This window comes from Homo sapiens, chromosome 17 (genome assembly GCF_000001405.40).
Source record: "Homo sapiens chromosome 17, GRCh38.p14 Primary Assembly".
Taxonomy (NCBI): domain Eukaryota; kingdom Metazoa; phylum Chordata; class Mammalia; order Primates; family Hominidae; genus Homo; species Homo sapiens.
In genome coordinates, this window is record NC_000017.11 from 63,911,645 (window position 1) to 63,936,117 (window position 24,473).

General features: G+C 53.3%; 2 protein-coding genes and 1 long non-coding RNA gene across 8 annotated transcripts, besides 35 other annotated features; 1 reads left to right on the plus strand and 2 right to left on the minus strand.

Annotated features, from left to right (window-relative positions):
• Positions 90–118: a non allelic homologous recombination region, noted in NCBI's record as "sub-region a, recombines with sub-region a' within the IGHD type 1A-2 recombination region". NCBI's record gives the evidence for it as "EXISTENCE:nucleotide sequencing assay evidence [ECO:0000219][PMID:2840669]".
• Positions 90–4,826: a biological region, named in NCBI's record as "IGHD type 1A-1 recombination region". NCBI's record gives its function as "recombination_partner: LOC105980078".
• Positions 276–6,282, plus strand: LOC112268204 (uncharacterized). The gene is made up of 3 exons (XR_002958148.2): positions 276–615; positions 5,953–6,000; positions 6,146–6,282. It is a non-coding gene; the product is annotated as an uncharacterized LOC112268204 (long non-coding RNA).
• Positions 3,339–3,935: a non allelic homologous recombination region, noted in NCBI's record as "sub-region b, recombines with sub-region b' within the IGHD type 1A-2 recombination region". NCBI's record gives the evidence for it as "EXISTENCE:nucleotide sequencing assay evidence [ECO:0000219][PMID:1980158]" and "EXISTENCE:restriction fragment detection evidence [ECO:0001124][PMID:1980158]".
• Positions 4,383–4,826: a non allelic homologous recombination region, noted in NCBI's record as "sub-region c, recombines with sub-region c' within the IGHD type 1A-2 recombination region". NCBI's record gives the evidence for it as "EXISTENCE:nucleotide sequencing assay evidence [ECO:0000219][PMID:1980158]" and "EXISTENCE:restriction fragment detection evidence [ECO:0001124][PMID:1980158]".
• Positions 5,549–24,473: part of a locus control region, noted in NCBI's record as "fragment (approximate range) that functions as an LCR in transgenic assays", that runs on past the window's edge. NCBI's record gives the evidence for it as "EXISTENCE:transgenic organism evidence [ECO:0001131][PMID:8524268]".
• GH1 (growth hormone 1) lies at positions 5,559–7,195 on the minus strand. 3 transcript variants are annotated; one of them, NM_022559.4, is made up of 5 exons: positions 7,123–7,195; positions 6,702–6,862; positions 6,373–6,447; positions 6,116–6,280; positions 5,559–5,862 (listed from the first exon to the last, which is right to left on the minus strand). In NM_022559.4, exons 1-5 carry the CDS (start codon positions 7,130–7,132, stop codon positions 5,665–5,667), a joined length of 609 nt encoding a protein of 202 aa, NP_072053.1. In that variant the 5' UTR covers positions 7,133–7,195; the 3' UTR covers positions 5,559–5,664. The 3 variants fall into 3 exon arrangements, with proteins under 3 accessions (NP_072053.1, NP_000506.2, NP_072054.1); NM_000515.5 differs by having other exon boundaries at positions 6,373–6,492; NM_022560.4 differs by lacking the exon at positions 6,373–6,447.
• Positions 7,189–7,682: a promoter, noted in NCBI's record as "494 bp EcoRI/BamHI GH1 promoter fragment". NCBI's record gives the evidence for it as "EXISTENCE:reporter gene assay evidence [ECO:0000049][PMID:9724759]".
• Positions 7,269–7,282: a protein binding site, noted in NCBI's record as "GH-1 Pit-1-binding site at GH1 promoter". NCBI's record gives the evidence for it as "EXISTENCE:protein binding evidence [ECO:0000024][PMID:16914737]".
• Positions 7,305–7,318: a protein binding site, noted in NCBI's record as "GH-2 Pit-1-binding site at GH1 promoter". NCBI's record gives the evidence for it as "EXISTENCE:protein binding evidence [ECO:0000024][PMID:16914737]".
• Positions 7,671–7,699: a non allelic homologous recombination region, noted in NCBI's record as "sub-region a', recombines with sub-region a within the IGHD type 1A-1 recombination region". NCBI's record gives the evidence for it as "EXISTENCE:nucleotide sequencing assay evidence [ECO:0000219][PMID:2840669]".
• Positions 7,671–11,453: a biological region, named in NCBI's record as "IGHD type 1A-2 recombination region". NCBI's record gives its function as "recombination_partner: LOC108004536".
• Positions 9,207–9,296: an enhancer, noted in NCBI's record as "active region_12565". NCBI's record gives its function as "activates an Ori minimal core promoter by ATAC-STARR-seq in GM12878 lymphoblastoid cells {active_cell/tissue: GM12878}" and the evidence as "EXISTENCE:reporter gene assay evidence [ECO:0000049][PMID:35858748]".
• Positions 9,317–9,366: an enhancer, noted in NCBI's record as "active region_12566". NCBI's record gives its function as "activates an Ori minimal core promoter by ATAC-STARR-seq in GM12878 lymphoblastoid cells {active_cell/tissue: GM12878}" and the evidence as "EXISTENCE:reporter gene assay evidence [ECO:0000049][PMID:35858748]".
• Positions 9,956–10,551: a non allelic homologous recombination region, noted in NCBI's record as "sub-region b', recombines with sub-region b within the IGHD type 1A-1 recombination region". NCBI's record gives the evidence for it as "EXISTENCE:nucleotide sequencing assay evidence [ECO:0000219][PMID:1980158]" and "EXISTENCE:restriction fragment detection evidence [ECO:0001124][PMID:1980158]".
• Positions 11,002–11,453: a non allelic homologous recombination region, noted in NCBI's record as "sub-region c', recombines with sub-region c within the IGHD type 1A-1 recombination region". NCBI's record gives the evidence for it as "EXISTENCE:nucleotide sequencing assay evidence [ECO:0000219][PMID:1980158]" and "EXISTENCE:restriction fragment detection evidence [ECO:0001124][PMID:1980158]".
• On the minus strand, positions 17,096–20,687 carry CD79B (CD79b molecule). 4 transcript variants are annotated; one of them, NM_000626.4, is made up of 6 exons: positions 20,551–20,687; positions 19,691–19,741; positions 18,430–18,741; positions 18,126–18,244; positions 17,790–17,831; positions 17,096–17,680 (listed from the first exon to the last, which is right to left on the minus strand). In NM_000626.4, exons 1-6 carry the CDS (start codon positions 20,615–20,617, stop codon positions 17,582–17,584), a joined length of 690 nt encoding a protein of 229 aa, NP_000617.1. In that variant the 5' UTR covers positions 20,618–20,687; the 3' UTR covers positions 17,096–17,581. The 4 variants fall into 4 exon arrangements, with proteins under 4 accessions (NP_000617.1, NP_001035022.1, NP_067613.1 ...); NM_001039933.3 differs by having other exon boundaries at positions 19,691–19,744; NM_021602.4 differs by lacking the exon at positions 18,430–18,741.
• Positions 19,537–19,606: a silencer, noted in NCBI's record as "silent region_8835". NCBI's record gives its function as "represses an Ori minimal core promoter by ATAC-STARR-seq in GM12878 lymphoblastoid cells {active_cell/tissue: GM12878}" and the evidence as "EXISTENCE:reporter gene assay evidence [ECO:0000049][PMID:35858748]".
• Positions 20,304–20,693: an enhancer, noted in NCBI's record as "active region_12567". NCBI's record gives its function as "activates an Ori minimal core promoter by ATAC-STARR-seq in GM12878 lymphoblastoid cells {active_cell/tissue: GM12878}" and the evidence as "EXISTENCE:reporter gene assay evidence [ECO:0000049][PMID:35858748]".
• Positions 20,667–21,337: an enhancer, noted in NCBI's record as "H3K27ac-H3K4me1 hESC enhancer chr17:62009671-62010341 (GRCh37/hg19 assembly coordinates)". NCBI's record gives its function as "activates a minimal SCP1, AML or CMV promoter by ChIP-STARR-seq in naive H9 embryonic stem cells {active_cell/tissue: H9 hESC(naive)}" and the evidence as "EXISTENCE:reporter gene assay evidence [ECO:0000049][PMID:30033119]".
• Positions 21,194–21,303: an enhancer, noted in NCBI's record as "active region_12568". NCBI's record gives its function as "activates an Ori minimal core promoter by ATAC-STARR-seq in GM12878 lymphoblastoid cells {active_cell/tissue: GM12878}" and the evidence as "EXISTENCE:reporter gene assay evidence [ECO:0000049][PMID:35858748]".
• Positions 21,314–21,363: an enhancer, noted in NCBI's record as "active region_12569". NCBI's record gives its function as "activates an Ori minimal core promoter by ATAC-STARR-seq in GM12878 lymphoblastoid cells {active_cell/tissue: GM12878}" and the evidence as "EXISTENCE:reporter gene assay evidence [ECO:0000049][PMID:35858748]".
• Positions 21,937–22,196: an enhancer, noted in NCBI's record as "260 bp HSI enhancer fragment". NCBI's record gives the evidence for it as "EXISTENCE:reporter gene assay evidence [ECO:0000049][PMID:10446901]".
• Positions 21,937–23,541: an enhancer, noted in NCBI's record as "1.6 kb HSI/II enhancer fragment". NCBI's record gives the evidence for it as "EXISTENCE:reporter gene assay evidence [ECO:0000049][PMID:10446901]".
• Positions 21,938–22,342: a DNaseI hypersensitive site, noted in NCBI's record as "HSI; the nucleotide coordinates are approximate for this feature". NCBI's record gives its function as "activates GH1 during pituitary development and sustains robust activity in the adult" and the evidence as "EXISTENCE:in vivo cleavage assay evidence [ECO:0001075][PMID:8524268, PMID:9724759]".
• Positions 21,938–22,342: an enhancer, noted in NCBI's record as "404 bp HSI F14 enhancer fragment". NCBI's record gives the evidence for it as "EXISTENCE:reporter gene assay evidence [ECO:0000049][PMID:9724759]".
• Positions 22,089–22,128: a protein binding site, noted in NCBI's record as "HSI Pit-1C- or F14.3.4- or M3-binding site". NCBI's record gives the evidence for it as "EXISTENCE:protein binding evidence [ECO:0000024][PMID:16914737, PMID:10585453, PMID:10446901, PMID:12189206]".
• Positions 22,149–22,188: a protein binding site, noted in NCBI's record as "HSI Pit-1B- or F14.3.1- or M2-binding site". NCBI's record gives the evidence for it as "EXISTENCE:protein binding evidence [ECO:0000024][PMID:16914737, PMID:10585453, PMID:10446901, PMID:12189206]".
• Positions 22,258–22,297: a protein binding site, noted in NCBI's record as "HSI Pit-1A- or F14.1- or M1-binding site". NCBI's record gives the evidence for it as "EXISTENCE:protein binding evidence [ECO:0000024][PMID:16914737, PMID:10585453, PMID:10446901, PMID:12189206]".
• Positions 22,342–23,540: a DNaseI hypersensitive site, noted in NCBI's record as "HSII; the nucleotide coordinates are approximate for this feature". NCBI's record gives its function as "cooperates with HSI in histone acetyltransferase (HAT) recruitment" and the evidence as "EXISTENCE:in vivo cleavage assay evidence [ECO:0001075][PMID:8524268, PMID:22669946]".
• Positions 22,549–22,615: a protein binding site, noted in NCBI's record as "HSII.4.1.2 POU1F1-binding site". NCBI's record gives the evidence for it as "EXISTENCE:protein binding evidence [ECO:0000024][PMID:22094313]".
• Positions 22,616–22,668: a protein binding site, noted in NCBI's record as "HSII.4.1.1 POU1F1-binding site". NCBI's record gives the evidence for it as "EXISTENCE:protein binding evidence [ECO:0000024][PMID:22094313]".
• Positions 22,650–22,699: a protein binding site, noted in NCBI's record as "HSII.3.3.2 POU1F1-binding site". NCBI's record gives the evidence for it as "EXISTENCE:protein binding evidence [ECO:0000024][PMID:22094313]".
• Positions 22,700–22,744: a protein binding site, noted in NCBI's record as "HSII.3.3.1 POU1F1-binding site". NCBI's record gives the evidence for it as "EXISTENCE:protein binding evidence [ECO:0000024][PMID:22094313]".
• Positions 23,230–23,283: a protein binding site, noted in NCBI's record as "HSII.1.3.2 POU1F1-binding site". NCBI's record gives the evidence for it as "EXISTENCE:protein binding evidence [ECO:0000024][PMID:22094313]".
• Positions 23,284–23,346: a protein binding site, noted in NCBI's record as "HSII.1.3.1 POU1F1-binding site". NCBI's record gives the evidence for it as "EXISTENCE:protein binding evidence [ECO:0000024][PMID:22094313]".
• Positions 23,432–23,495: a protein binding site, noted in NCBI's record as "HSII.1.1.2 POU1F1-binding site". NCBI's record gives the evidence for it as "EXISTENCE:protein binding evidence [ECO:0000024][PMID:22094313]".
• Positions 23,496–23,540: a protein binding site, noted in NCBI's record as "HSII.1.1.1 POU1F1-binding site". NCBI's record gives the evidence for it as "EXISTENCE:protein binding evidence [ECO:0000024][PMID:22094313]".

A 24,473-nucleotide genomic window follows, 5' to 3' on the forward strand; every position in this document is an offset into this window, starting at 1 on the left:
CGCATGTTTAACCTCCACCCACCAGACAGAATGTGTGTGTTGGGAAAAGGGGCCAAGCACAGCCAATAGATTGTGGGGGTTGTGAGCATGATTCAGTCCTGAATTCCACTTCTGCTGACGACTCCTGGGCCCACCTGAGTCAGCTGGATGCAGTGCTAACACTGACCACTAGAGGGAACCAACCCCACACTTTGATCTCCCCTTTCCCTGAGCCTTGGGGCGGGGCGGAGGGAGGGGGTTGGGTGGGGGGCTCCCCCAGGTCACTGGGGACGAAGAACTCAGACTCTCAAGGTATTGCCCCAGCTCCCTGGACCTGCAGCAGAGACACAAACCAAGAAACCGAAATCCCGGGAACAGACACGGACCACAAGCGCTTCCTCCCATAGCCCTGAAACCATCAGAGAATCTCAAAGTTGGAAGAGCTCTTGAAGATTTGAATCTCTTCCCCAGCTTTGGAACTCAAAACACATCACGCCGAAAGATGCCCTATCCATCCATGGAAGCCCGTCCTCTTTTTTCTCCTCCTCCTTTCCACACCTGTATAGAGCCTATCCAGTTGCGAAGGGCCTGCCTGTGCATTCTCACGTCTGACCTGCCACTTGTCTTGTGTAGGAGGTATGATTATCATCCCATTTCACATATCAGGAGACTGAGGCTCAGAGAGACTGATTGCATGAGCTACCTCAGCCAGGGCAGCAGATCTCCACAGCCTTGCTCTTCCCACTTTGTGTCATTTAAAGTCCTTTCTCCAGGCCGGGCACGGTGGCTCATGCCTGTAATCCCAGCACTTTGGGAGGCTGAGGTGGGTGGATCACTTGAGGTCAGGAGTTCAAGGCCAGACTAGCCAACATGGCAAAACACCAACTCTCTAGAAATACAAAAGTAGCTGTGTGTGGTGGCGCAAGCCTGTAATCCCAGTTACTCCGGAGGGTGAGGTGGTAGAATCACTTGAATCCAGGAGGCAGAGGTTGCTGTGAGCCAAGATCGCGCCACTGCACTCCAGCCTGGGCGACAGAGTGTGACTCCATTTCAACAACCACAACAACAAGAAAAAAGTCCTTTCTCCAGAACAGGTAGTGTGGTGTTACTCAGTTATTTAGTTATTTTAGTTTCTTTCTTTCTTTCTTTCTTTCTTTCTTTCTTTCTTTCTTTCTTTCTTTCTTTCTTTCTTTCTTTCTTTCTTTCTCTTTCTTTCTTTTTCTTTTTCTTTCCTTCCTCCTTTCCTTTTCTTTCTTTCTTTCTTTCTCTTTCTTTCTTTCTTTCTTTCCTTCCTCTTTGTCTCTCTCTCTCTCTTTCTTTCTTTTTTTTCAGTTGGAGTCTCATTCTGTCACCCAGGCTGGAGTGCAGTGGCATGATGTTGCCTCACAGCAACCTCCACCTCCTGGGTTCAAGTGATTCTCCTGCCTCACCCTGTTTAGTAGCTGGGATTACAGTCGCCCGCCACCACGCCAGGCTAAATTTTGTACTTTTTTAGTAGAGACGGGGTTTCACTATGTTGGCCAGGCTGGTCTCGAACTCTTGACTTTAGGGGATCCACCCTCCCTGGCCTCTCTAAGTACTTAGATTACTGGCGTGAGTCACCGCCCCCAACCCAGTTATTTCAGCTTCTAAATCCCTCTGAGTGCAGGGATCCTGCCCCCAACACAGGGGCCCTTTGCCTCATTTTGTCTTTCCATAAGGGGCAGATTGTTCTTTCTCAATTCCCAGGTGAGAATGGCCCAGTGGCATGGGGTGCCTTGTGGAAACCTCACAGCAGGACAAGGCTGAGGCGGAGAAGGCCAGGACTGAGCCTCCTGTCTCCTGGTGCCCAGGGTTGGGGCTATTTCCATACCATCTGGAAGTCACAAGCATCAGATGCCCCCAGGGATAAGAGCAGGAAAGACCACCCTCTCCAGTGGTGAAATCTTCCCCCACCCTGAGTTTAAGAGCATGTAGCACTTGACACTGTAGAAACACAAGCAAGCAAACAAGCAAATGCTTCTAGAAGTGATTGGCTGTGGTGTTGGCAACCAACATTGAACACCCACACCCCTGTGGCCTAGGATGTGAATGCTGGGGCCCTGCCATCTCCCTACTTTCAGAGGGGAAGACAGAGCTCCTTTTTCTGCCGTCACTCCTGAAGCATTACCGGACCAGCACCCCAGACTCATCACCTGCTGGGAGGGCACTGTGCTGTGAGCTGTTCTCCAGGCAGGCCTGTGTGAGGATCCAAGAGGGGTGTCATCGATGATACCAGCTCCGAAAAATATGGGGCCAAGGGAGGGTGGAGTCACCACTTTCCCCTGCTCCTTCCAGCACCAGCAAAGAGGAGGAGCCAGGTGCGAATGGAAGAGGGTCCCTGAGCTCCAAGTAGAAGAAGGTCCCTGCCTCCCCCACCATCCTTCCTCCAATGTCAGCTGGGACAGGGAGCCCCCATGACAGGGCCTTTTAGCCAGTGCTGGGGACTTAGATGTGGATTTTCGGCCATGGAAGAAGTCTCCAGCCTCCTTTAGGAATGAGGGTGGCAGGGGCCCTAGTTGGGGACCACTGCATAACTCCGCAGGTGGGCACAGGGGTGGCGAGGCTCCCCAGACAGGTTACTGCCAGGAACACGTGGGACCAGCCAGGGCAGGGGAGTGTCTCCTCTCACCTCTCCACTTCTGTTGACCCCAGAATTATGGTGACTCAGAGGACTCTAGGGACCCCTGGGGAAACACCTTTATAAGGGGTTACCATGGCAGCCATGGACCAGAGGGAAGAACTGAGGCCCTCAGGTGTGGGTAGAAGTCGATGATCGTTTTCTCTAGTCTAGATCTTCCCAGAGCCTTGAGCAATGGAGACCATGTCTATCATTCATTGCTGGTAAAAAATCAACTTTGCATTAGACTTGGGATTCTCCTAACAGTACTGGGAAGTTGCCCACTGTTGGGGCATCACTTGGGTCCAGATCCTTGGCTCCTGCAGGCTGAGAGACTACTCAGGGAGAGCCTCCACATGGCCAGTGGGGAGAGGCTGGGCTTCGCGCCTCTGGCGTCAGCTTCAAAAGGCTCAGAATAGGCCGGGCGCAGTGGCTCATGCCTGTAATCCCACCACTTTGGGAGGCCAGGGTGGGTGGATCATGAGGTCAGGAGTTCAAGACCAACCTGGTCAAGATGGTGAAATCCCGTCTCTACTAGAAATAGAAAAATTAGCTGCGCATGGTGGTAGGTGCCTGTAATCCCAGCTACTCAGGTGGCTGTGGCAGGGAATTGCTTGAACCCGGGAGGTGGAGGTTGTAGCGAGCTGAGATCATGCCACTGCACTCCTGCCTGGGCAACAGAGCGAGACTCTGTATCAAGAAAAACAAAAAAAAACTCTACGTAATCTCACAATCATCTTGGTTCTTTTAAAGAACCTGCCTTTATAATTTAGGATCCATGAATTTCTCTGTGTGTTTGGAAGCCCTTCCTATGTCCAACCTCGACTAACTCTAGGGTTCTGTGTGCCTGCTGTGGAAAGTCACAGATCTGCTGTTGATCCTAAAGTGGTGTCTTTCAGGCTTCAAGATCTCCTGTTAGGTTCAAGACTGTGGGGTTGAGGACGATCACATTTTTCGAAGCCATTCTCACCGGTCTTAGGGATCGCCTCCAAGGGACTGGTGGGTGCTCCTTCCACTCTCACTTTGGTGATTTGAGGCGCACACTTCTCACCTGCAGCTCTGTTCTTTCTTCCTTGAGATCAGAGGCTGGTTATTGTACTGGGACATACTCTACCTCCTTTTGGCTTCTAATGTCCTTTCCATGAGTTTGCTACCGAGTCAATTACTTGGCTCATTGGATTGAGGTCTTCAGAGAATATTATATGGGGATTCCCAAGGGCTCTCCTAGGGGAGGTGAGGAAGATGATCAATACTTCTGCGTGTCCACCATGTGCTTGGCACTCTACTGACCATAGGGATGTGAGTGAGGATACTGAGGCTCAAAGAGATGAGGTGGCTTGCCTGGAGCTCTCCCAGTTTCTAAGTGATGGCTTCCAAGGCCCCCGGGCTTTCCTTCCATGCCAAGCTCTTTAGAAGTCTCATCTAGTAAAGGTGGTGGCACTACTAGGCATGGACAGAACTTGCCTCAGTGCAAAGCTAGCAGGACAGGGGTGAGGTCCCTACACAGGATGTTCAATGAAGATGGGGGGAATTGAACACAAGGAACTTCAGCCACAGAATGAGGTGTCCATAGGCATTAAGGAAAGTGGTAGAAAAGAAGCACCCAGCGTAGCTCGGGTTAGTGAACCGAGGCACTTCATGCTGCATATTTGTATTGCACGTTTCAGTGTACATCGTGTTTCACTTCCTATATCTCGTTGGACACTTCAGTTTGCCATATGATATGTCCAGGGGGTTCAGGCACGGAGGAAGGGCCTCGGAAGACCTCGGGGGGAGAGGGGCAGGCACTGCTGTGTATTGATGGGGGGATTGTTTGCACTGGTTGATGATCTCTGAACAACCAAGAAGTACACAAGGATCTACCTAACTGGACGTGCTAAGTAATTTCACTTTGGGGATTATTCTCCAGGGAGACGATCCATTGATAGAGAAGTGAAAAGCATCGAGATGTGTCTAGTAGTTGTAGGAAGTCTGGGGTGCTTTCCTGATGGGGTGCCCTCAGCTGGAAATAGCCCCTCCTTCCTTTGACCTGTCCTGTGGCTATTTGCAGACATTTTATTCCTCTTACCAGACTGTAAGCTCTTTGAGGCTGGATTTCTGCCTTTTGTCTATTCATTCATTCACTCATTCTTCTATTCATGCATTCACCAATTCCACAAGTAGTTGTTGCCTGTAACATGTGCCAGAGATTGTACCAGGCAGATGGGCATATCTAGATAAGCAAAAGACATGATCCTTTCTCTTCTGGAGCTAACAATCTACTGGGGGCAGAGATAATAGCAAACAAGTAAATATATAATGGTTAAATAGAAATTTCGAATTTGGAACATTCTCATGAGGAAAACAGCTAAGATATGGAGGGAGAGAAGAAGCCAGAAGGTGACGGGACGAGGCAGCTGGCACAGCCCTAGGCCCAGGAATTCAACAGGCATCTACTGAGTGGACCCAACGCATGAGAGGACAGTGCCAAGCAAGCAACTCAAATGTCCCACCGGTTGGGCATGGCCAGGTAGCCTATGCTGTGTCTGGACGTCCTCCTGCTGGTATAGTTATTTTAAAATCAGAAGGACAGGGAAGGGAGCAGTGGTTCACGCCTGTAATCCCAGCAATTTGGGAGGCCAAGGTGGGTAGATCACCTGAGATTAGGAGTTGGAGACCAGCCTGGCCAATATGGTGAAACCCCGTCTCTACCAAAAAAACAAAAATTAGCTGAGCCTGGTCATGCATGCCTGGAATCCCAACAACTCGGGAGGCTGAGGCAGGAGAATCGCTTGAACCCAGGAGGCGGAGATTGCAGTGAGCCAAGATTGTGCCACTGCACTCCAGCTTGGTTCCCAATAGACCCCGCAGGCCCTACAGGTTGTCTTCCCAACTTGCCCCTTGCTCCATACCACCCCCCTCCACCCCATAATATTATAGAAGGACACCTAGTCAGACAAAATGATGCAACTTAATTTTATTAGGACAAGGCTGGTGGGCACTGGAGTGGCAACTTCCAGGGCCAGGAGAGGCACTGGGGAGGGGTCACAGGGATGCCACCCGGGCAGCTAGAAGCCACAGCTGCCCTCCACAGAGCGGCACTGCACGATGCGCAGGAATGTCTCGACCTTGTCCATGTCCTTCCTGAAGCAGTAGAGCAGCCCGTAGTTCTTGAGTAGTGCGTCATCGTTGTGTGAGTTTGTGTCGAACTTGCTGTAGGTCTGCTTGAAGATCTGCCCAGTCCGGGGGCTGCCATCTTCCAGCCTCTGCAAAGTGAAGGAAGAGAAGGAGAGGCCAAGCGCTTGGGTACTGTTCCCTCCCTTTCTCATTCATTCATTTTCCTCCCTCCCCTTCAGGGTGTAGAGAAAGGCCTGGAGGATTCACGAGGGGAAATGAAGAATAAGGTGAGTTCTCTTGGGTCAGGGCCTGACTGCTAAAAAGAGGGCAGCAGTGTTTCTCTAACACAGCTCTCAAAGTCAGTGGGGCTCCAGGATTGGGGACCCCTGGCGCCACCCTCACCCCCATCAGCGTTTGGATGCCTTCCTCTAGGTCCTTTAGGAGGTCATAGACGTTGCTGTCAGAGGCGCCGTACACCAGGCTGTTGGCGAAGACACTCCTGAGGAACTGCACGGGCTCCAGCCACGACTGGATGAGCAGCAGGGAGATGCGGAGCAGCTCTAGGTTCTGCAGGGGAAGGACGGGCATTGGCTGTGCTGCCCGGGGGCTCTGACTACAGGTCTCCCCCATCCCCGCCTGGGGAGAAGGCATCCACTCACGGATTTCTGTTGTGTTTCCTCCCTGTTGGAGGGTGTCGGAATAGACTCTGAGAAACAGAGGGAGGTCTGGGGGTTCTGCAGGAATGAATACTTCTGTTCCTTTGGGATATAGGCTTCTTCCTAGGAGAAGGACCGCCCACCAAGGTCTACGCTGGAGACCAGCTCCCATTGTTACTTTTCTGGGAACCTCACTCAGCGTGTGCTCATCTGCCTGCATTTTCGCTTCGGGAAAAACCCTGAGCTCCTTAGTCTCCTCCTCTTATTTCCCAGCGGGGGAAAGTCACCCCTTCCTGCCACCCCTGATGCGCACCCATTCCCCAAGAGCTTACAAACTCCTGGTAGGTGTCAAAGGCCAGCTGGTGCAGACGATGGGCGCGGAGCATAGCGTTGTCAAAAAGCCTGGATAAGGGAATGGTTGGGAAGGCACTGCCCTCTTGAAGCCAGGGCAGGCAGAGCAGGCCAAAAGCCAGGAGCAGGGACGTCCGGGAGCCTGGGGAGAAACCAGAGGGCAACAGAGGGAGCCGGAGAGCAAGAGGCCAGCACTCTCCCTGCTCCAGGAGCTGTTTGTTTTTCTCTCTCCATCCCTCCAGGGACCAGGAGCTTTCTGAGATTGGCCAAATACTGGGCTTACATGGCGATACTCACATTCAGAAGCCCCAAACCTGAGGGTTAGTGCCCCCGTCCCATCTACAGGTCGCTGCCTCTCCCCTCAGGACACATTGTGCCCAAAGGGATTTTAGGGGCGCTTACCTGTAGCCATTGCAGCTAGGTGAGCTGTCCACAGGACCCTGAGTGGTTCGGGGAGTTGGGCCTTGGGATCCTTGAGCTGGTCTCTTGTGGGCCCTTTTTATACCCTGGCCCCTTCTCTCCCACTGTTGACCCCACCTGTTTCTGTGTACATTTATGCATGGGGCCACTGACGGGCTTGTGCTAATGGATAATTTAGAAGCTCCTCCCACACATGCTGGGATCATGCCCCCTGGCTTGTCATCTTTCCCTTCCCACCGTCACCAGTGTTGTGAGGGTTGTGCACAGAGTGTCAGCCAGAGATACCACCCAACTTGTCCTCTCTTTAAGGGTCACGTGGGTGCCCTCTGGCCGCAGGCCATGGTGGCCAACCTGCACGCGGCGAAGGATGTCAGGATAGCCAGTCCTTGAGACCCCCTACCGACCACATCCCATTCTCTATCCTATCCCTTTCCTCCTCCCCGCATGTTTAACCTCCACCCACCAGACAGAATGTGTGTGTTGGGAAAAGGGGCCAAGCACAGCCAATAGATTGTGGGGGTTGTGAGCACGATTCAGTCCTGAATTCCACTTCTGCTGAGGACTCCTGGGTCAGCCTGAGTCAGCTGGATGCAGTTCCAACACTGACCACTAGAGAGAACCAACCCCACACTTTGCTCTCCCCTTTCCCTGAGCATTGCTGGGGCTCCCCCAGGTCCCTGGGGACGAAGAACCCAGACTCAAGGTATTGCCCCAGCTCCTTGGACTTGCAGCAGAGACACAAACCAAGAAACAGAAATCCCGGGAGCAGACACGGACCACAAGCTCTTCCTCCCATAGCCCTGAAACCATCAGAGAATCTCAAAGTTAGAAGAGCTCTTGAAGATTTGAGTCTCTTCCTCAGCTTTGGAACTCAGAACACATCACGCCGAAAGATGCTCTATCAGGCTGGGCGCGGTGGCTCATGCCTGTAATCCCAGCACTTTGGGAGGCCGAGGCGGGCGGATCACGAGGTCAGTAGATCAAGACCATCTTGGCTAACCAGGTGAAATCCACTCTGTACTAAAAATGCAAAAAAGTTAGCTGGGCGTAGTGGCGGGCGCCTGTATTCCCAGCTACTCGGGAGGCTGAGGCAGGAGAATGGCGTGAATCCGGGAGGCAGAGCTTGCAGTGAGCGGAGATCGTGCTGCTGCACTCCAACCTTGGCAACAGAGCAAGACTCCACCTCAAAAAAAAAAAAAAAAAAAAAAAGAAAAAGAAAAAGAAAGATGCCCTGTCCAGCCATGGAAGCCCCTCCTCTTTTTTCTCCTCCTCCTTTTCAGATCTGTATAGAGCTTTTCCAGTTGCCGAGGGCCTGCCTGTGCATTCTCACATCTGACCTGCCACTTGTCTTGTGAAGGAGGTATTATTTTCTTCCGATTTCACAGATCAAGAGACTGTGGCTCAGAGAGACTGATTGCATGAGCTACCTCAGCCAGGGCAGCAGATCTCCACAACCTTGCTCTTCCTACATTGCGTCATTTAAAGTCCTTTCTCCAGGCCGGACACAGTGGCTCACGCTTGTAATCCCCAAACTTTGGGTGGCTTTGAGGTGGGTGGATCACTTGAGGTCAGGAGTTCAAGGCCAGACTAGCCAACATGGCAAAACTCCATCTCTACTAAAAGTACAAAAATTAGCTGGGCGTGGTGGCATGAGCCTGTAATCCCAACTACTCGGGAGGCTGAGGCGGGAGAATCACTTGAACCCAGGAGGCAGAGGTTGCCGTGAGCCAAGATTGCGCCACTGCACTCCAGCCTGTGCAGCAGAGCAGAACTCCATCTCAAAAAACAAAAAATAATAATATTAAATTTTTTTTTCTCCAGAGCAGGTAGTGTGATGCTACTGAGTTATTTAGTTATTTTAGCTTCTTCCATGTTCCTCCAATCTCAACTGGGGCAGGGAGCCCCCATGACAGGGCCTTTTTGCTAGTGCCGGGGACTTAGATGTGGATTTTCGGCCATGGAAGAAGTCTCCAGCCTCCCTTAGGAATGAGGGTGGCAGGGGCCCTAGTTGGGGACCACTGCATAACTCTGCAGGTGGACACAGGGGTGGCGAGGCTCCCCAGACAGGTTACTGCCATGAACACGTGGGACCAGCCAGGGCAGGGGAGTGTCTCCTCTTACCTCTCCATTTCTGTTGACCCAGAATTATGGTGACTCAGAGGACTCTAGGGACCCCTGGGGAAACACCTTTACAAGGGGTTACTGTGGTAACCATGGACCAGAGGGAAGAACTGAGGCCCACAGGTGTGGGTAGAAGTCGGTGATCGTTTTCTCTAGTCTAGATCTTCCCAGAGCCTTGAGCAATGGAGACCATGTCTATCATTCATTGCTAGTAAAAAATCAACTTTGAATTAGACTTGGGATTCTCCTAACAGTACTGGGAAGTCGCCCACTGTTGGGGCATCACTTGAGGCCAGATCCCTGGTTGCTGCAGGCTGGAGCCTCTCCCCACATGGCCAGTGGGGAGAGGCTGGGCTTCTCACCTCTGGTGTCAGCCTCAAAAGGCTCAGGAAAAGTTGGGCACACGCCTGTAATCCCACCACTTAGGGAGGCCAAGGTGGGTGGATCATGAGATCAGGAGTTCAAGACCAGCCTGGCCAAGATGGTGAAATCCCGTCTCTGCTAAAAATACAAAAATTAGCCAGGTGTGGTGGCAGGCGCCTGTAATCCCAGCTATTCAGGAGGCCGAGGCAGGGAATTGCTTGAACCCGCGAGGTGGAGGTTGCAGTTAGCCAAGATCACGCCACTGCACTCCAGCCTGGGCGACAGAGCGAGACTCTGCATCCAAAAAAAAAAAAAAAAAAAAGCTCAGGATAAATCTCAGAATCATCTTGGTTCTTTTAAAGAACCTCCCTTTATAATTTAGGATCCATGAATTTCTCTGTGTGTTTGGAAGCCCTTCCTATGTCCAACCTCGACTAACTCTAGGGTTCTGTGTGCCTGCTGTGGAAAGTCACAGATCTGCTGTTGATCCTAAAGTGGTGTCTTTCAGGCTTCAAGATCTCCTGTTAGGTTCAAGACTGTGGGGTTGAGGACGATCACATTTTTCGAAGCCATTCTCACCGGTCTTAGGGATCGCCTCCAAGGGACTGGTGGGTGCTCCTTCCACTCTCACTTTGGTGATTTGAGGCGCACACTTCTCACCTGCAGCTCTGTTCTTTCTTCCTTGAGATCAGAGGCTGGTTATTGTACTGGGACATACTCTACCTCCTTTTGGCTTCTAATGTCCTTTCCATGAGTTTGCTACCGAGTCAATTACTTGGCTCATTGGATTGAGGTCTTCAGAGAATATTATATGGGGATTCCCAAGGGCTCTCCTAGGGGAGGTGAGGAAGATGATCAATACTTCTGCGTGTCCACTATGTGCTTGGCACTCTACTGACCATGGGGATGTGAGTGAGGATACTGAGGCCCAAAGAGATAAGGTGGCTTGCCTGGAGCTCTCCCAGTTCCTAAGTGATGGCTTCTAAGGCCCCCCAGGCTTTCCTTCCATGCCAAGCTCTTTAGAAACCTCATCTAGTAAAGATGGTGGCACTACTAGGCATGGACAAAACTTGCCTCAGTGCAAAGCTAGCAGGACAGGGGTCAAGTCCCTGCACAGAGGATGTTCAATGAAGATGGGGGGAATTGAACACAAGGAACTTCAGCCACAGAATGAGGTGTCCATAGGCATTAAGGAAAGTGGTAGAAAAGAAGCACCCAGCATAGCTCGGGTTAGTGAACCGAGGCACTTCATGCTGCATATTTGTATTGCACGTTTCAGTGTACATCGTGTTTCACTTCCTGTATCTCGTTGGACCCTTCAGTTTGCCACATGATATGTCCAGGGGGTTCAGGCACGGAGGAAGGGCCTCGGAAGGCTTGGGGAGGAGAGGGGCAGACACTGCTGTGTATTGATGGGGGGATTGTTTGCACTGGTTGATGATCTCTGAACAACCAAGAAGTACACAAGGATCTACCTAACTTGACGTGCTAAGTAATTTCACATTGGGGATTATTCTCCAGGGAGACGATCCATTGATAGAGAAGTGAAAAGCATCGAGATGTGTCTAGTAGTTGTAGGAAGTCTGGGGTGCTTTCCTGATGGGGTGCCCTCAGCTGGAAATAGCCTCTCCTTCCTTTGACCTGTCCTGTGGCTATTTGCAGACATTTTATTCCTCTTACCAGACTGTAAGCTCTTTGAGGCTGGATTTCTTTTTTTTTTTTTTTTGAGACCGAGTCTTGCTCTGTCGCCCAGGCTGGAGTGCAGTGGCGCGATCTTGGCTCACTGCAAGCTCCGCCCCCCTGGGTTCATGCCATTCTCCTGCCTCAGGCTCCCTAGTAGCTCGGACTACAGGAGCCTACCGCCATGCCCGGCTAATGTTTTGTATTTTTAGTAGAGACGGGGTTTCACTGTGTTAGCCAGGTTGGTCTCCATCTCTTGATCTTGTGATCCACCCGCCTCGGCCTCCCAAAGTGCTGGGATTACAGGTGTGAGCCACCCACGCCCGGCCTGAGGCTGGATTTCTGCCTTTCGTCTATTCATTCATTCACTCATTCTTCTATTCATGCATTCACCGATTCTACAAGTAGTTGTTGCCTATAACATGGGCCAGAGACTGTACCAGGCCGATGGACATATCTAGATAAACCAAAGACATGATCCTTTCTCTTCTGGAGCTAACAATCTACTGGGGGGGCAGAGAAAACATTTTACCATTACGTAATGTATATATATAAAATGGTAAAAAAAATTACATAATGTGTATATATATATAAAATTGTAATATATATATACATATATTATTTTTTTTGATGGAGTTTTGCTCTTGTTACCCAGGCTGGAGTGCAATGGCACAATCTCAGCTCACTGAAACCTCCACTTCCTGGGTTTAAGCGATTCTCCTGCCTCAGCCTCCCGAGTAGCTGGGATTACAGGCATGTGCCACCATGCCCGATTAATTTTGTATTTTTAGTAGAGATGGGGTTTCACCATGGTCATCAGGCTGGCCTCGAACTCCTGACCTCAGGTGATCCACCCGCCTTGGCCTACCAAAATGCTGGGATTACAGGCATGAGCCACCGCGCCCGGCCAGGTATATATATATATGTTGGTAATATAATGGTATAATAGAAATTTCTAATTGGGGACATTCCCATGAAGAAATTGCTAAGATATGGAGGGAGAGAATAAGCCAGGAGGTGAAGGGACGAGGCAGCTGCCACAGCCCCAGGCCCAGGAATTCAATAAGCATCTACTGAGTGGACCCAACGCATGAGAGGACAGTGCCAAGCAAAGAACTCAAATGTCCAACCAGCTGGGCATGGCCAGGTAGCCCATGCTGTGTCTGGACGTCCTCCTGCTGGTATAATTATTTTAAAATGACAAGGACAGGGAAGGGCGCAGTGGCTTACATCTGTGATCCCAGCAATTTGGGAGGCCGAGGCGGGCGGATCACCTGAGGTCAGGAGTTGGAGACCAGCCTGGCCAATATGGTGAAACCCCGTCTCTACTAAAAATACAAAAATTAGCGGAGCCTGGTAGTGGGCGCTTGTAATCCCAGCTACTTGAGAGGCTGAGGCAGGAGAATCGCTTGAACCCAGGAGGTGGAGGGTGCAGTGAGCCAAGATCGTGCCATTGCACTCTAGCCTGGGCAACAAGAACAAAACTCTGTCTCAAAAAAAAAATAATAATAAATAAAATAACAAGGACAGGAACTTGATTGTCAAATGCAAAAGGTGACAAGGCAGAGTGCCCAAGTTCCCAGGAATGTTCTATACGGACTCATTAACTTACACGAAGTTCTGCCTTCCCCTCCTGCCACATGGGGAAAGTGGTATTAGGTCTGGAGGGGGGATGCCTTTTTTAAAAAATTGAAAATTATATTAGGATCAGTCTAAGTGTGTTTTAACAAACTACACTCTGATTTAAGTCAGGAGATAATGCTCATTAATTTTTGTCCTCTGCAGTCACCTGTTTCCAAGTAAAGTCTTTTGGGTGGGAGAGGCAGGTGTCCCAAGTGGAAGATTTGTGGTTGTTTGCAGCTGAGTCAATGGCAGGACCAGAAGATGACATACAAGGAGCAGCTTGTAGACCTGAGACACACTCAGGAATGTCACAGATGTGGGCTCTGAACCCACTTCTTGAGGTGATCCAAAGAGAGCAGACAGAGATCCCAAATACCATGTTCCGAGATGGCTTTTGTTGTTGTTATTGTTGAGACAGAGTCTCACTCTGTCGCCTAGTCTGGAATGCAGTGGCATGATCTCGGATCTCAGCTCACTGCAACCTCCCCTTCCTAGGTTCAAGTGATTCTCCTGCTTCAGCCTCCCCAGTAGCTGGGATTACAGGCATGTGCCACCATGCCTAGCTAATTTCATTTCATTTGAGACGGAGTTTTGCTCTTGTTGCCCAGGCTGGAGTGCAATGGCGTGATCTCAGCTCACCGCAACCTCCACCAGGTTCAAAAGATTCTCTTGCCTCAGCCTCCCAAGTAGCTAGGATTACAGGCATGCGCCACCATGCTTGGCTAATTTTGTACTTTTAGTACAGATGGGGTTTCTCCATGTTGGTCAGGCTGGTCTGGAACTCCCAACCTCAGATGATCTGCCCGCCTCAGCCTCCCAAAGTGCTGGGATTACAGGTGTGAGCCACCGCACTGGGCCTAAATTTTTTATTTTTAGTAGAGATGGGGTTTCACCACGTTGGCCAGGCTGGTCTTGAACTCCTGACATCATGTGATCCACCTGCCTCAGCCTCCCAAGGTGCTAGGATTACAGGCATGAACCACCGCACCCGGCCCTGAGATGGCTTTAGAGGCCCCTCAGAGAAACCTCAGCCAGACCAGACACCTACTAAGGGACCCAAATAGCCACCGTTTTTTGCGTTTTGTTTTGTTTTTCTCTCGTTTCCAATTCTGCTGGAAAAACACCCAAAACCTTGGGTCAGATCACCCCAACCCTAGCAGCACCTGCAGCAAGAGGGGAGGAAGTCAAGCTAGAATGGAGGAGGAACAAGCCTGTGCTTCAACCAGGGTCCCTGGGGAGCTGGCTGGATTCCCCCAGTGGGCAGTGAGGCATGTGCCCACCAGGGGCCTCAGAGCTGTGTTCTGGGGAGGGGGCAGGCAGAGGGGGCAGCTGTAGAGCTGGGGTCCTGGAGGGATGGCACAGTGGCTTCCTCTCGAGGGTGCTCAGAGGCCTCCTACTAGGCCTTGGCAAGAAGGGGTGGGGCCTTTGGGGCCTCAAACCTCGTGAATCATAGGAAAAGCAAATCCCCCTTCAAAACACAAACGTTTGAAGATAGCCAAAGTTGTCCCTGGATTCCCTCCTCCTTCGGTTCAGGGTCTTATTGCTGCAATGCCCTTCAAGAGGGGCGGCCGTGATGTAGTGGGGAGAAGGCTGGACTTGGAGCCAGAAGGTCTAGGTGTGATTTTGGCCAGTTATGGTAATTTCCCTGGGCCTTGATTTCCTTGTTTGTAAAAATCAGGTAGTGCAACCTTCTTCCAGGGACATCAGGCAGAGTGTAAATGAAGATGGAGGTGTTCAATCCAGTTTTCTTGCATTTAAGAGGTGCTCAATACGTATTTGTTGGGCCCAATAAAAGCTTTTGGTTCATATTCTCTGTTCTGATTGTGGTGGTGGTGATACAAATCTATACATTTGCTAAAATTCTGTACACCCAAAGGACACAAACTCAATTTTTTTTTTTTTTTGAGATGGAGTTTTGCCCAGTCACCTGGGCTGGAGTGCAGTGACACAATTTCTGCTCACTGCAACTTCTGCCTCCCAAGTTCGAGCAATTCTCCTGCCTCAGCCTCCCAAATAGCTGGGATTACAGGCACCAACCACCATGCCTGGCTAATATTTTTATATTTTTGGTAGGGACGGGGTTTCACTATGTTGGCCAGGCTCGTCTCGAACTCCTGACCTCAGGTGATCCACCCGCCTCGGCCTCCCAAGTGCTGGGATTACAGGCATGAGCCAATGCGCCTGGCCCTCAATTTTATTGTGATAATTTTTTACAAAACAATGTCCAGTCCAAATTCTTTCCCTCGGATGGGGTTTAGGATTCCCATTTCGCAGATGAAGCAACCTGAGATGTTTCTTGTCCCCACCATCAGTACCCAGCTATATTACCATTGCCTATGGCAGTTCTGGGGAGACAGACATGATGTCCCCCAGAGTGTAAGCCCTTAAAACAGAAAAACAGACCGGGGAGGGCTCCTACATTATAACCCATGAAGTCAAGCCCTTTGGGGGTGTCTGGTGGAGGGGCCAAGGTCTATGCTCAAATGATTCTCTGTTAACAAGAACTTCGGGCTGGGCGCGGTGGCTCATGCCTGTAATCCCAGCACTTTGGGAGGCCAAGGCGGATGGATCACTTGAGGTCAGGAGTTTGAGACCAGCCTGGCCAACGTGGTGAAACCCCATCTCTACTAAAAATACAAAAATTAGCCAAGCATGGTGGTGTACGCCTGTAATCCCAGATACTTTGGAGGCTGAGGCAGGAGAATTGCTTGAACTCAGGAGACGGAGGTTGCAGTGAGCGGAGATGGTGCCACTGCACTCCAGCCTGGGCAACAGAGTGAGACTCTGTCTGCAAATAAATAAATAAGTAAATAAATAGATAAATAAAACAAGAACTTCAAAGTCTCAGGGAAACTGAGTTGTTCAGAGGTGTTAAAAAGTCTTTAGGTAAAGCCAAGGCCTCCCCCAACCCAGGGCAGCCTCAAGCAGGTGGAGACCCTGCTTGGGGGAGAAGTGAAGCCTCCTCCCACCATCTACCCGGCTGCCTAGGTCCCTGGTGGAGGTAGGAGGACGGAATTAGTGCCACTATGCAAAGCAGCAGGAAAGGAAGGGCTCCGGCTCAGTAGAGGCTGATGCCAAAACAACCTGGTTCCCTCCAGCAGCCCAGAGACTGGGGAAAACACAGGGGCCGCCTGGCTTGGCCCAGCCTGGCCCAGGGTGGTGGAGAGATTTACCTGAAACTGCAGGCGTGGGGGCCTTACCCACCTGCCCCACCTGGAATTCCAGAGGGAATCTGGTGAAAATTGGCACTGTTCTCACTAGTTCCCCTGTGCTGGTCTTGATTCCCCAGTTAAACTGGCAGCTCCCACAGCATAGGTGCTCCCTTGCTGGAATTCAGAGCAGGAATAGCAGAGGGGCCTCGAAGGATTCCCTCCAGGGTCAACAGGAAGTGGAGCACAGCCTGGCTTGGGAGGGAGGCTTTGCACGTGCAGGTTGATTGCACTTGGTCTCCCAGCTGGCAGCTGTTCCCAGTACCTCCCACAGCTGGTGAGCTGGAGGGCCCTAGGGACCATTGTTTGAGGACCCTGGGGCCATAGGGGACCTCCGATATGAGGCTGGGAAAGTCTGAAGGGGTCCCCTGGCTAAGAACCCCAAAGCTTCACCATACAAAGCTCCACTCTTCAGGATCTCACTCTTGATGGCTTTGCATCAAGCTTTCCTAGGCTTCCTGGGAGGTGGGGGTGGGAGTGTTGTAGAGGCAGGGAAACCCCTACCCTCAGGGAGCTTCCAGTTTGCCTGGAGAACCAAGGCCAGTGTGAGTAGCACAAGGCAGTAGCTAAGTCGCCGCTGCATAGGCTGGTCTGAGCAGGGCTTGGGCGAGGACCCAGGTGCTTTGGGAGGGCTTCCTGTAGGTGGAGGCAGAGTGGGACTCAATTGCCGCTTTTCGGCTGAATGAAGTGCAAGATGAGGGTGTCCCTGCTGAGGGGAAGGACAGGCCCAGTCACTGGCCAGCTGCTCTGGGTCCAGCTAGGGCCTGGCATGCAGCCCCGTTCCAGGGAGAAGAAACGGGGATGCGACCACAGGCTCCAACTGGGTCTTCGGAGAGGAGGGGTGGCTGTTACCTTTCCCACACCCTCGAGGGCTCACAGATGCCACATTCAAACAACAGAAGTGCCCACATAGATGTTCCTATCCACCCCAAACCCATAAGATGCCACGAGCCTGTGTGTGGTTTCTCAGGACACACCGTTTATTCCACGGGGGAAGGCACTGGAGGCCAGGGCCTCCCTGGGGTGGGAGTGGTTGCGGGAGAGGAATGATGTTCCTGTGGCTCTTCTGGGGCCCAGTTGGGTCCATGGCCCTTCCCAAGCTCTGCTGGGAGGCCCTCGGCTCCGAGTCCATTTGCGGGCTCTGGACCAGTCTCTGCCTCCCCCATCCCATGTGTGGGGACGGATCACCTCATAGCACCCCCAGAAGGCTGGGTCCCGTCCATCCCCAGAGAACTCCCTCCAAGTTGCTGCCCTGTTGTCCTTCTACTCCAGGCCCTTTGGCAAGAGCTGGGGACCAGGGGCTGGAGACAAATGGCAGCTCTGGTGGGCCAGCTTCAGAGGCCAGCTGGGGGGTCCAGGAAAGGGGTTGGGCCATGAGCCAGGCAGCTCCGAAGCAGTCACTGAGGCCAGGGAGCCTGCACCCAGGTCATGGGGCGACCTGGCTCTCACTCCTGGCCTGGGTGCTCACCTACAGACCACTTCACTTCCCCTGTCCGCAGCGTCACTATGTCCTCATAGGTGGCTGTCTGGTCAATGTCCAGGCCCTGGAGACATTAAGTGGAACTCAGGCCGGGACCACACCCCAACCACACCAGCAGATAGTGGCCACTGACCCCGAGGACTCAGAGCTGCTGGGCCTGCCCCTCTCCTTACCTCGTAGGTGTGATCTTCCTCCATGCCAGCCTTGCTGTCATCCTGGGGGCGGAGAGGGATGGAGATCAGAGTGTTAGTGTCCCCCAGCCCCATCCCCTGCTGGGCCAGGCTGGGGAGGGCCAGGGAGAGGGGTGAGGGGTCAGGAGTGAGGTGCATTCTGCAAGAACAGCTGAATGAAGGAAGGAAGGAAGGAATGATTGAATTGGTGAGCCAGTGGGGACAGGCTGGACCAAGAAGGCCACAACGAGAGCTGGGGAGATGGAGACCCTGCATATGCCTGGCCTATGCGGTGGCCTCCTCTGCGGTCCCCCAAGGCTTCCCCCGTCCCCTGATCACCTTGTCCAGCAGCAGGAAGATAGGCACGATGATGAAGAGGATGATCAGCAGCGTCTGGATCATGATGATACCATCCTTCAGCGTGTTCCTCTGCTTCAGCTGTGCCAAGGTGCTGAATCCTGCGGGGACAGGGGTGGGGTTGTGAGCCTGGGCCACAGTCCACCTTTTAGGCCTACAAGGGCAGCTCCCTCAGGTCCCAGTGGCTCTCCTGAGTGCTCTAGGGCCATGACCATCACCACAAGAGGCAGGCCGGGCTAGGGTGGGGCGGACAGCTACAGGAGCGTCCCAGCCACCTGGCACACACCCATGACTCGCAGCTCTGTGCCGCAGCCCTGGTAGACCTCCGAGGTGTTGTTGCACTTCTGCTGACAGAAGTAGATGCCATTGTCCTCAAACCGGATGCCTTGGATGGTGAGGGTGGCGAGAGATTCGTTCTGGGACTCTTCCATGCGGCCCTTTTCCAGCTTCAGCTGCTGGGGATTCTCGTCCATCTCCTGCTTCCAGAGCCAGCTCACATTGCCGGAGGCGCTGTTCATGTAGCAGTGCATTTTCACCGTGAAGCCCCGTTTCCTGGCTATGAAACGTGGGCTCTGCCAGATCCGCGAACAAGCACTACCTGTGGGTGCCAAGGCCAGGCTCAGCATTCCGCTTGGCATCTTCCTGAGTGCCAGCCCCAGCAGCAGGCCCCTGCCCTGGCTGGCACAGACTCCCTGGGCTTAGTCCTTGCTTCTCAGGGTGTGGGACAGGCAGGAGGCTGAGGTTGGAGTTGGGAAGCAGAGCCACGTGAGAGGCTGAGCCACATGAGAAGCCACGGCCAAGCTCTCAGACTCCACCTCTTCCCGACTGCCCCACCTCCCCTTCGATTTTCCTTTGGAAGAGCCCTGGGACCTTGCCATTCCTTCCTATGCCCATTACAACAGCCTGACCCAGGCCACACCCCCAGGACCTGGAGGCCCACAGGCCTGGCCCCTCCTTTCACTGGGCTGCCCTGCACAGGCTTGAAATCCTCAGTCTCCCCCGTTCCTCCAGGGATAAAGGCCAAATTCCTAGTCTGTCAACTGAGACCTTCCTCAGTCGACCCCCTCCCTGCATGACTTCCCTCTATCATCCCCCTCTTCCCTCCTGCAGGGACTGGGTCCACTTCTTGTTCCAGAACCCTCTTTCCAGCTTCGACTGCCTTGTTCTTAGTGAGCACTGCCCGGGAATCCCTGAGCCCCTCACATAGTGACCCTGCACTGGAGGGCTCACCCGAGACTCAGCCAGATTCCCAGCTAGACAGGCCCGGGCCTGAGTCCTAGAGGAACCCCCAGGCTCCCTTGCTATGACCCAGAGTTTAGCCCAGCCCTTCAGTGGCCAAGGCTGGAGGGCATGTGTCTGATGAGGATGACAGTGGGCTGGGGGTGGGGCTCAGAGGAGATCCTAAGGAGGCCTGGGGATGGGAATCCTGGATGGGGAGATCAGGCAAGGGTGGGAAGGCGGACCGCCCCCAGGACAGGGACCATAGTCGGACACAGGACATAGTCGCACACAACTTGCCCTCAGAAGCGGCAGGCGAGGCTACTGACCTTTGGGATTCCGGTACCGGTCCTCCGATCTGGCTGCTGGTACTGGCTCAGCTGCTGGGTGGGAGGAAGTGGGCGGGGCCAGTCAGGGCCTCCTCTGGCCTGGGCTGCCCCACCCCTGCATGCCCTCTATGTTCCCGGAGCTACTTCCTCCTTCCATGACAGCAGCTTCAAGACCCCTCGGTCCTCCCTGCCCCCAGTACTTGGGAGACAGATATGGGGTGGGGGTACCGGAAGCCCTGCCCCCAGCCCCCTTTCTGCCTTTGACCCTCATGGTGGCTTTGAGCAGGCATCTGAATGAGACAGGAGGGACAGGGAAATCTCAGTATTTTGAGAGGCCAAGACAGGAGGATCGCTTGGGTCCAGGAGTTTGAGACCAGCCTGGGCAACATAGGGACACCCTGTCTCTCTTTTTTTTTTTTTTTTTAAAGAGAGACAGGAAGAAAGTCACAGCCCGGAGGATCTTTCACCTCCCAGAGGAGGGGACCACATTTGGATCTTGCATCTTCCAGGGTCCGGTTGGGACAGCCTCTCCCCTCCCGACCCCCAGGCACCGCCCTCAGCCTCTCTTCCTCCTGAGCCTAGTTCTTCCACGGTCCTGGTTGCTAACTCTGGTTTGCTCCTCATGCCCAGCTCAGCCTGATGCTCTCCAGGCAGGAGAGGAACTGGGGCCACAGGCTCCTGAGCCCATCACCACGTGCAGCTGACACCCACAGACCCAGGCCCCAGGGCCATGAGAGGGAGACAGGCGGTAAAGAGTGAGAGACAGAGGAGGAGGGTGGAGCAAGCAGGAGGCAGAGCCGCAGGGCCCAGACAGCTGGAGATGAGAGCAAACCCCACAGGCCTCGTCGTGGGTTCTGTACCTGAGAGCAGCAGCAGCAACGCCACCATCCAGTGGCTGGGCACAGGAGACAACGCCAGCCTGGCCATGGTCACCGCTCTGTCCCCGACCCCAAACCCGTGACAACGTCCGAGGCTCCTTGGAGGAAAACGTGTAACTGCACCGGCTGCAGCCTGTCCCCTCCCCGCCTCTTCCTCACCAGGCCCCTTCCTGCCATGCAAATTGGGACCCAGGGGAGGCACCAGCTCTCCGGGGACCCTGGGGGAGGGCAGGCTTTTGTCAGCTGGGCCGCTAAGGTTTGGCGGTCGCCCAGCTTGGGCAGCACAGCTGGGGTCCTCTGTGGATGCCTCTGGGGGGCCTCTCAGTCTTCTGGGGGAAGCCTGTGCTCCCCTCTGTCTGTGCTTACCCCACCGGTGGTCATCCCCTGGGCCAGCCAGCCTCCCCTCTGCCGTCTGCCAACTCCCCGAAGGGCCGAGCCCGGCAAGTCTCTATTCCTGGGCCGTGAGCGAAATAGGCACCTGTCCTATGAATGAACCTGAACTTAGCTCCTCTGTCCTGAACTATTCCTCACCCAGCGGGAAGAGGAGCACTGAAGAAGGACAGGGCAGCCACAGACCCAGGTCAGGCATCTGGAGGGGCCCAGAGCAGAGCCTCTTGGCTGGAGTGCAGGCAGCCATGTTGGAAGTTGACCCTGTGGAGGATGGGAGCCACAGAGGTTCTGGAGCAAGAGCAGGTCAAGTGTGGCAGCCACTGGGAGAAGATTCAGTCCAGGTCTTGGTGAGAGGCCTCCCTTCCTCATGCTGTGAAAGAGTATGTAGGGGCTGCCAAACAGGGTGGATGTAGGTGGAGACAGCTTTGCGAAAATCCACCACGCAGCCACTGGGGGCTTCTTCAGGGAGTTCTTAACTGTGGGACTCTGAGTGCGTTGAATTGTTGTCTGCAGGTCCAGGGGGTCTTGGGCAGGGAACAGGAGCTGGTGTGGGGGAGCCCTCAGGTCCTCCAGCTGTATCCTGCCTGTCCTCAGAGTGCTGGATGGAGCCACAGTGCTCAGGAACTGATATAAACTCACCTTTGCGCCCCTGCCCCTGGGTCCAATGCAGCCCCTTCAGAGATGCCCTTGTGCAGGGCACAACATGCACAAGTGTACACAGCATGCTTGCAGACCTCAGCCCTGCAGCTGAGCCCTCTGAATTTTATGTTTCCTGGCAGCTTCTTTTTTGTCTCTCATCCTCGACCCCCAGGAGAGGAAGAGATGCTAAATCGTCGGTGCCCTCTGTCCACCTCTCACTCTCCTCACAACCCTCCGTTTTCCAGTCTGTGCTGGGGCAGGTCTGTCTGGATTTAGGGAGAAGCAGAACCACCTCCCATGCCATGGTTGGAAGGCAGAGGGTCTGGGTGGTCCCTCTTTAGATCTTGGCCTAGGCCTCGGACCTGATAAGGTGGGGGCCACTCTCAAGGGGTGCAGGCCAGGACCTGAGCCACGGAAGTCAGGGGCAGGAGGGTTAAGGTTTCATCCGAGGAACAGCCCGTTCCGGGCAGCCCCAGATGTTCTTTCTTGTTTCCAGATGTTCCAAATGAAAAAACATTTCTCTGAAAAGCTGTCAGATGTTCAGTTCATGGAATAAACAGCTCAGAAATATAAACATCACCTGAGGTCAGCTTGAGGCCCATGGGCCCGCATGCTGGTGAGGGTGGCTGGAGAGAGACTGACCCGGGGGGAGTGGGGCAAAATCTGGGAGTCTCATGGTTTAGGAAATACTCTTCCTGAGCCCCTAACGACAGAGTCCTTCATTAACTTTGGGGCTAGTGTCTCCCCAAAGTTGGGGGGTATAACTGGGAAAGGCTTGGGGCACACGTGTTTGTGGGGGGTGTGTGTGTGTGTGTATGTGCATGCTCACACAGGTGTGTTGCCTGGACCCTGTGGTGTGGGGCCTACTCTGGAGCTGGTCCTAGGGCTCAGCGGACTGTAGGGGGCACGGAGGTTGGTGGGGGGCAGTTGGCACCCATCCTCAGGTGACAGGTGCGCTAAAATCTCAGAAATCACCACTAAAGAACTTATCCAGGTAACCAAAAAAACTACCTGTACCCCAGAAAATATTGAAATAAAAAATTTAAAAAAACAAGTGAGAAGCAGCTCCCACTCCAGGGAGGGAAGACACACACATCCCGTGGACAAGGATGCAGATGTGGCCTTTGGGCTTCATTCCCATTCATGCCGGGCAGGGATCTGTTTTCAGGAGGGGCGGAGGCAGCGGGGGCCCCACCGCCTGCAGGGTTATTTGTCACATTTTGAGCCGTGCTGTTCCCTCACTGGTGACAACAGCCCTGAGCCCCATTTTGGGCTCATGATGCCCTTTTCTTCCCAGAACAGGAGGCCTCACAAGCCTACCCCTGCCTCTGCCCTCGGCTGCCCGGGGCTTCACATTCTGACTTCTGACGACACCTCCCTTTCCAGGAAGGCAACATCAAAATAAGGAATGGGGGCCAGGGTCGGGCGAAGGGACAAGGGGCTCAGGGGGTGGGGAAGCAAGAAGGCAGCGACCCCCAGCCACCCTAGGATGCCGGGAGGGGGAAGAACCTCAGGGAAAGAAGAGCTCAGACCCCTGCCTCCTTCTCCAGCCCAGGTGTCCTGGATCTGCTGGGCTGCTGTGACTGGGAAAAGACCTGCTAAGAAGGACGTGGGTTTGAGTCCTGACCCAGCAGTGTAGCAGCCAGGAAACCTCCCCAGGTTACCAGTGGTTCTCTACTAAGGGTGGCTCTGCCCCAACGGAGGGAGCGTCTGCACATGCATCAGGGCAATCGCGCTGGTCTCAATGACCGGTGGGTGCCTGGGGCGGGAGGGGCATTGGCTGGCAAAGCAGAGTTCCCTGCCCCACATGCCAACAGCACCCATGAGGCAACACCCATTCTTAACCTCTCAGTGACCAAGGTTCCTCATTTTCGTAAAATAGAAATAAGCCCAATAGCGCGTTTTTTTGTTGTTGTTTTCTGGGGTTTTTCTGAGACAAGATCTTGCTCTGTTGTCCAGGCTGGAGTGCAGTGGTGCAATCTCCATTCACGGCAACCTCTGCCACCTGGACTCAAGTGATTCACCCACCTCAGCCTCCCGAGTAGCTGGGACTACAGGTCATGCTACTACACCTGGCTAATCTGTGTATTTCTTGTAGAGACAGGTTTTACTATGTTGCCCAGGCTGGTCTCAAACTCCTGAGCTCAAGCGATCCACCCGCCTCAGCCTCCCAAAGTGCTGGGATTACAGGCGTGAGCCACTGCGCCCGGCCCCAACAGTGCGTTGGTCGAAGGGCAGCTGTGCACATTGAAGGCCATCCTGCATCTGAGGTACTTGGTGAATGTGGTGGACGGCACGCCCTGAGGAGGGCGAGGAGTGCGAGGAGTGGCACGGATGCCTGGGGAGGTGGGTAGCTGTGACTGTTGTCCCAAGTTGTCTCTGTTTCTCACCCAATATGAGGCCTTTTTTCTTCCACCATTCAAGGCTCAAAGGATGTGTGGGCTTGAGCACCCTGCGCTCTGCAAATCTTCCTGTCCCTGATGCCAGAGAGGGCTCCAGGCGAGGTCTGGAGGAACTTAAAGTGAAAAGAATGTCTCCAGTGTCATTTCTAATAGAGCTTATTTGGATCTTCTCTCTTTTCTTGGTTAATCTTGCTAATGGTCTATCAATTTTATCTTTTCAAAGAACCAGCTTTTTTTTTTTTTTGAGATGGAGTCTTGCTCTGTTGCCCAGGCTGGAGTGCAGTGGCATGATCTCAGCTCACTGCAACCTCCGCCTCCTGGGTTCAAGTGATTCTCCTGCCTCAGCCTCCCAAGTAGCTGGGACTATAGGCGTGCAACACTGCACCCAGCTAATTTTTGTATTTTTAGTAGAGATGAGGTTTCACCATTTTGGCCAGGCTGGTCTCAAACTCCTGTCCTCGTGATCTGCCCGCC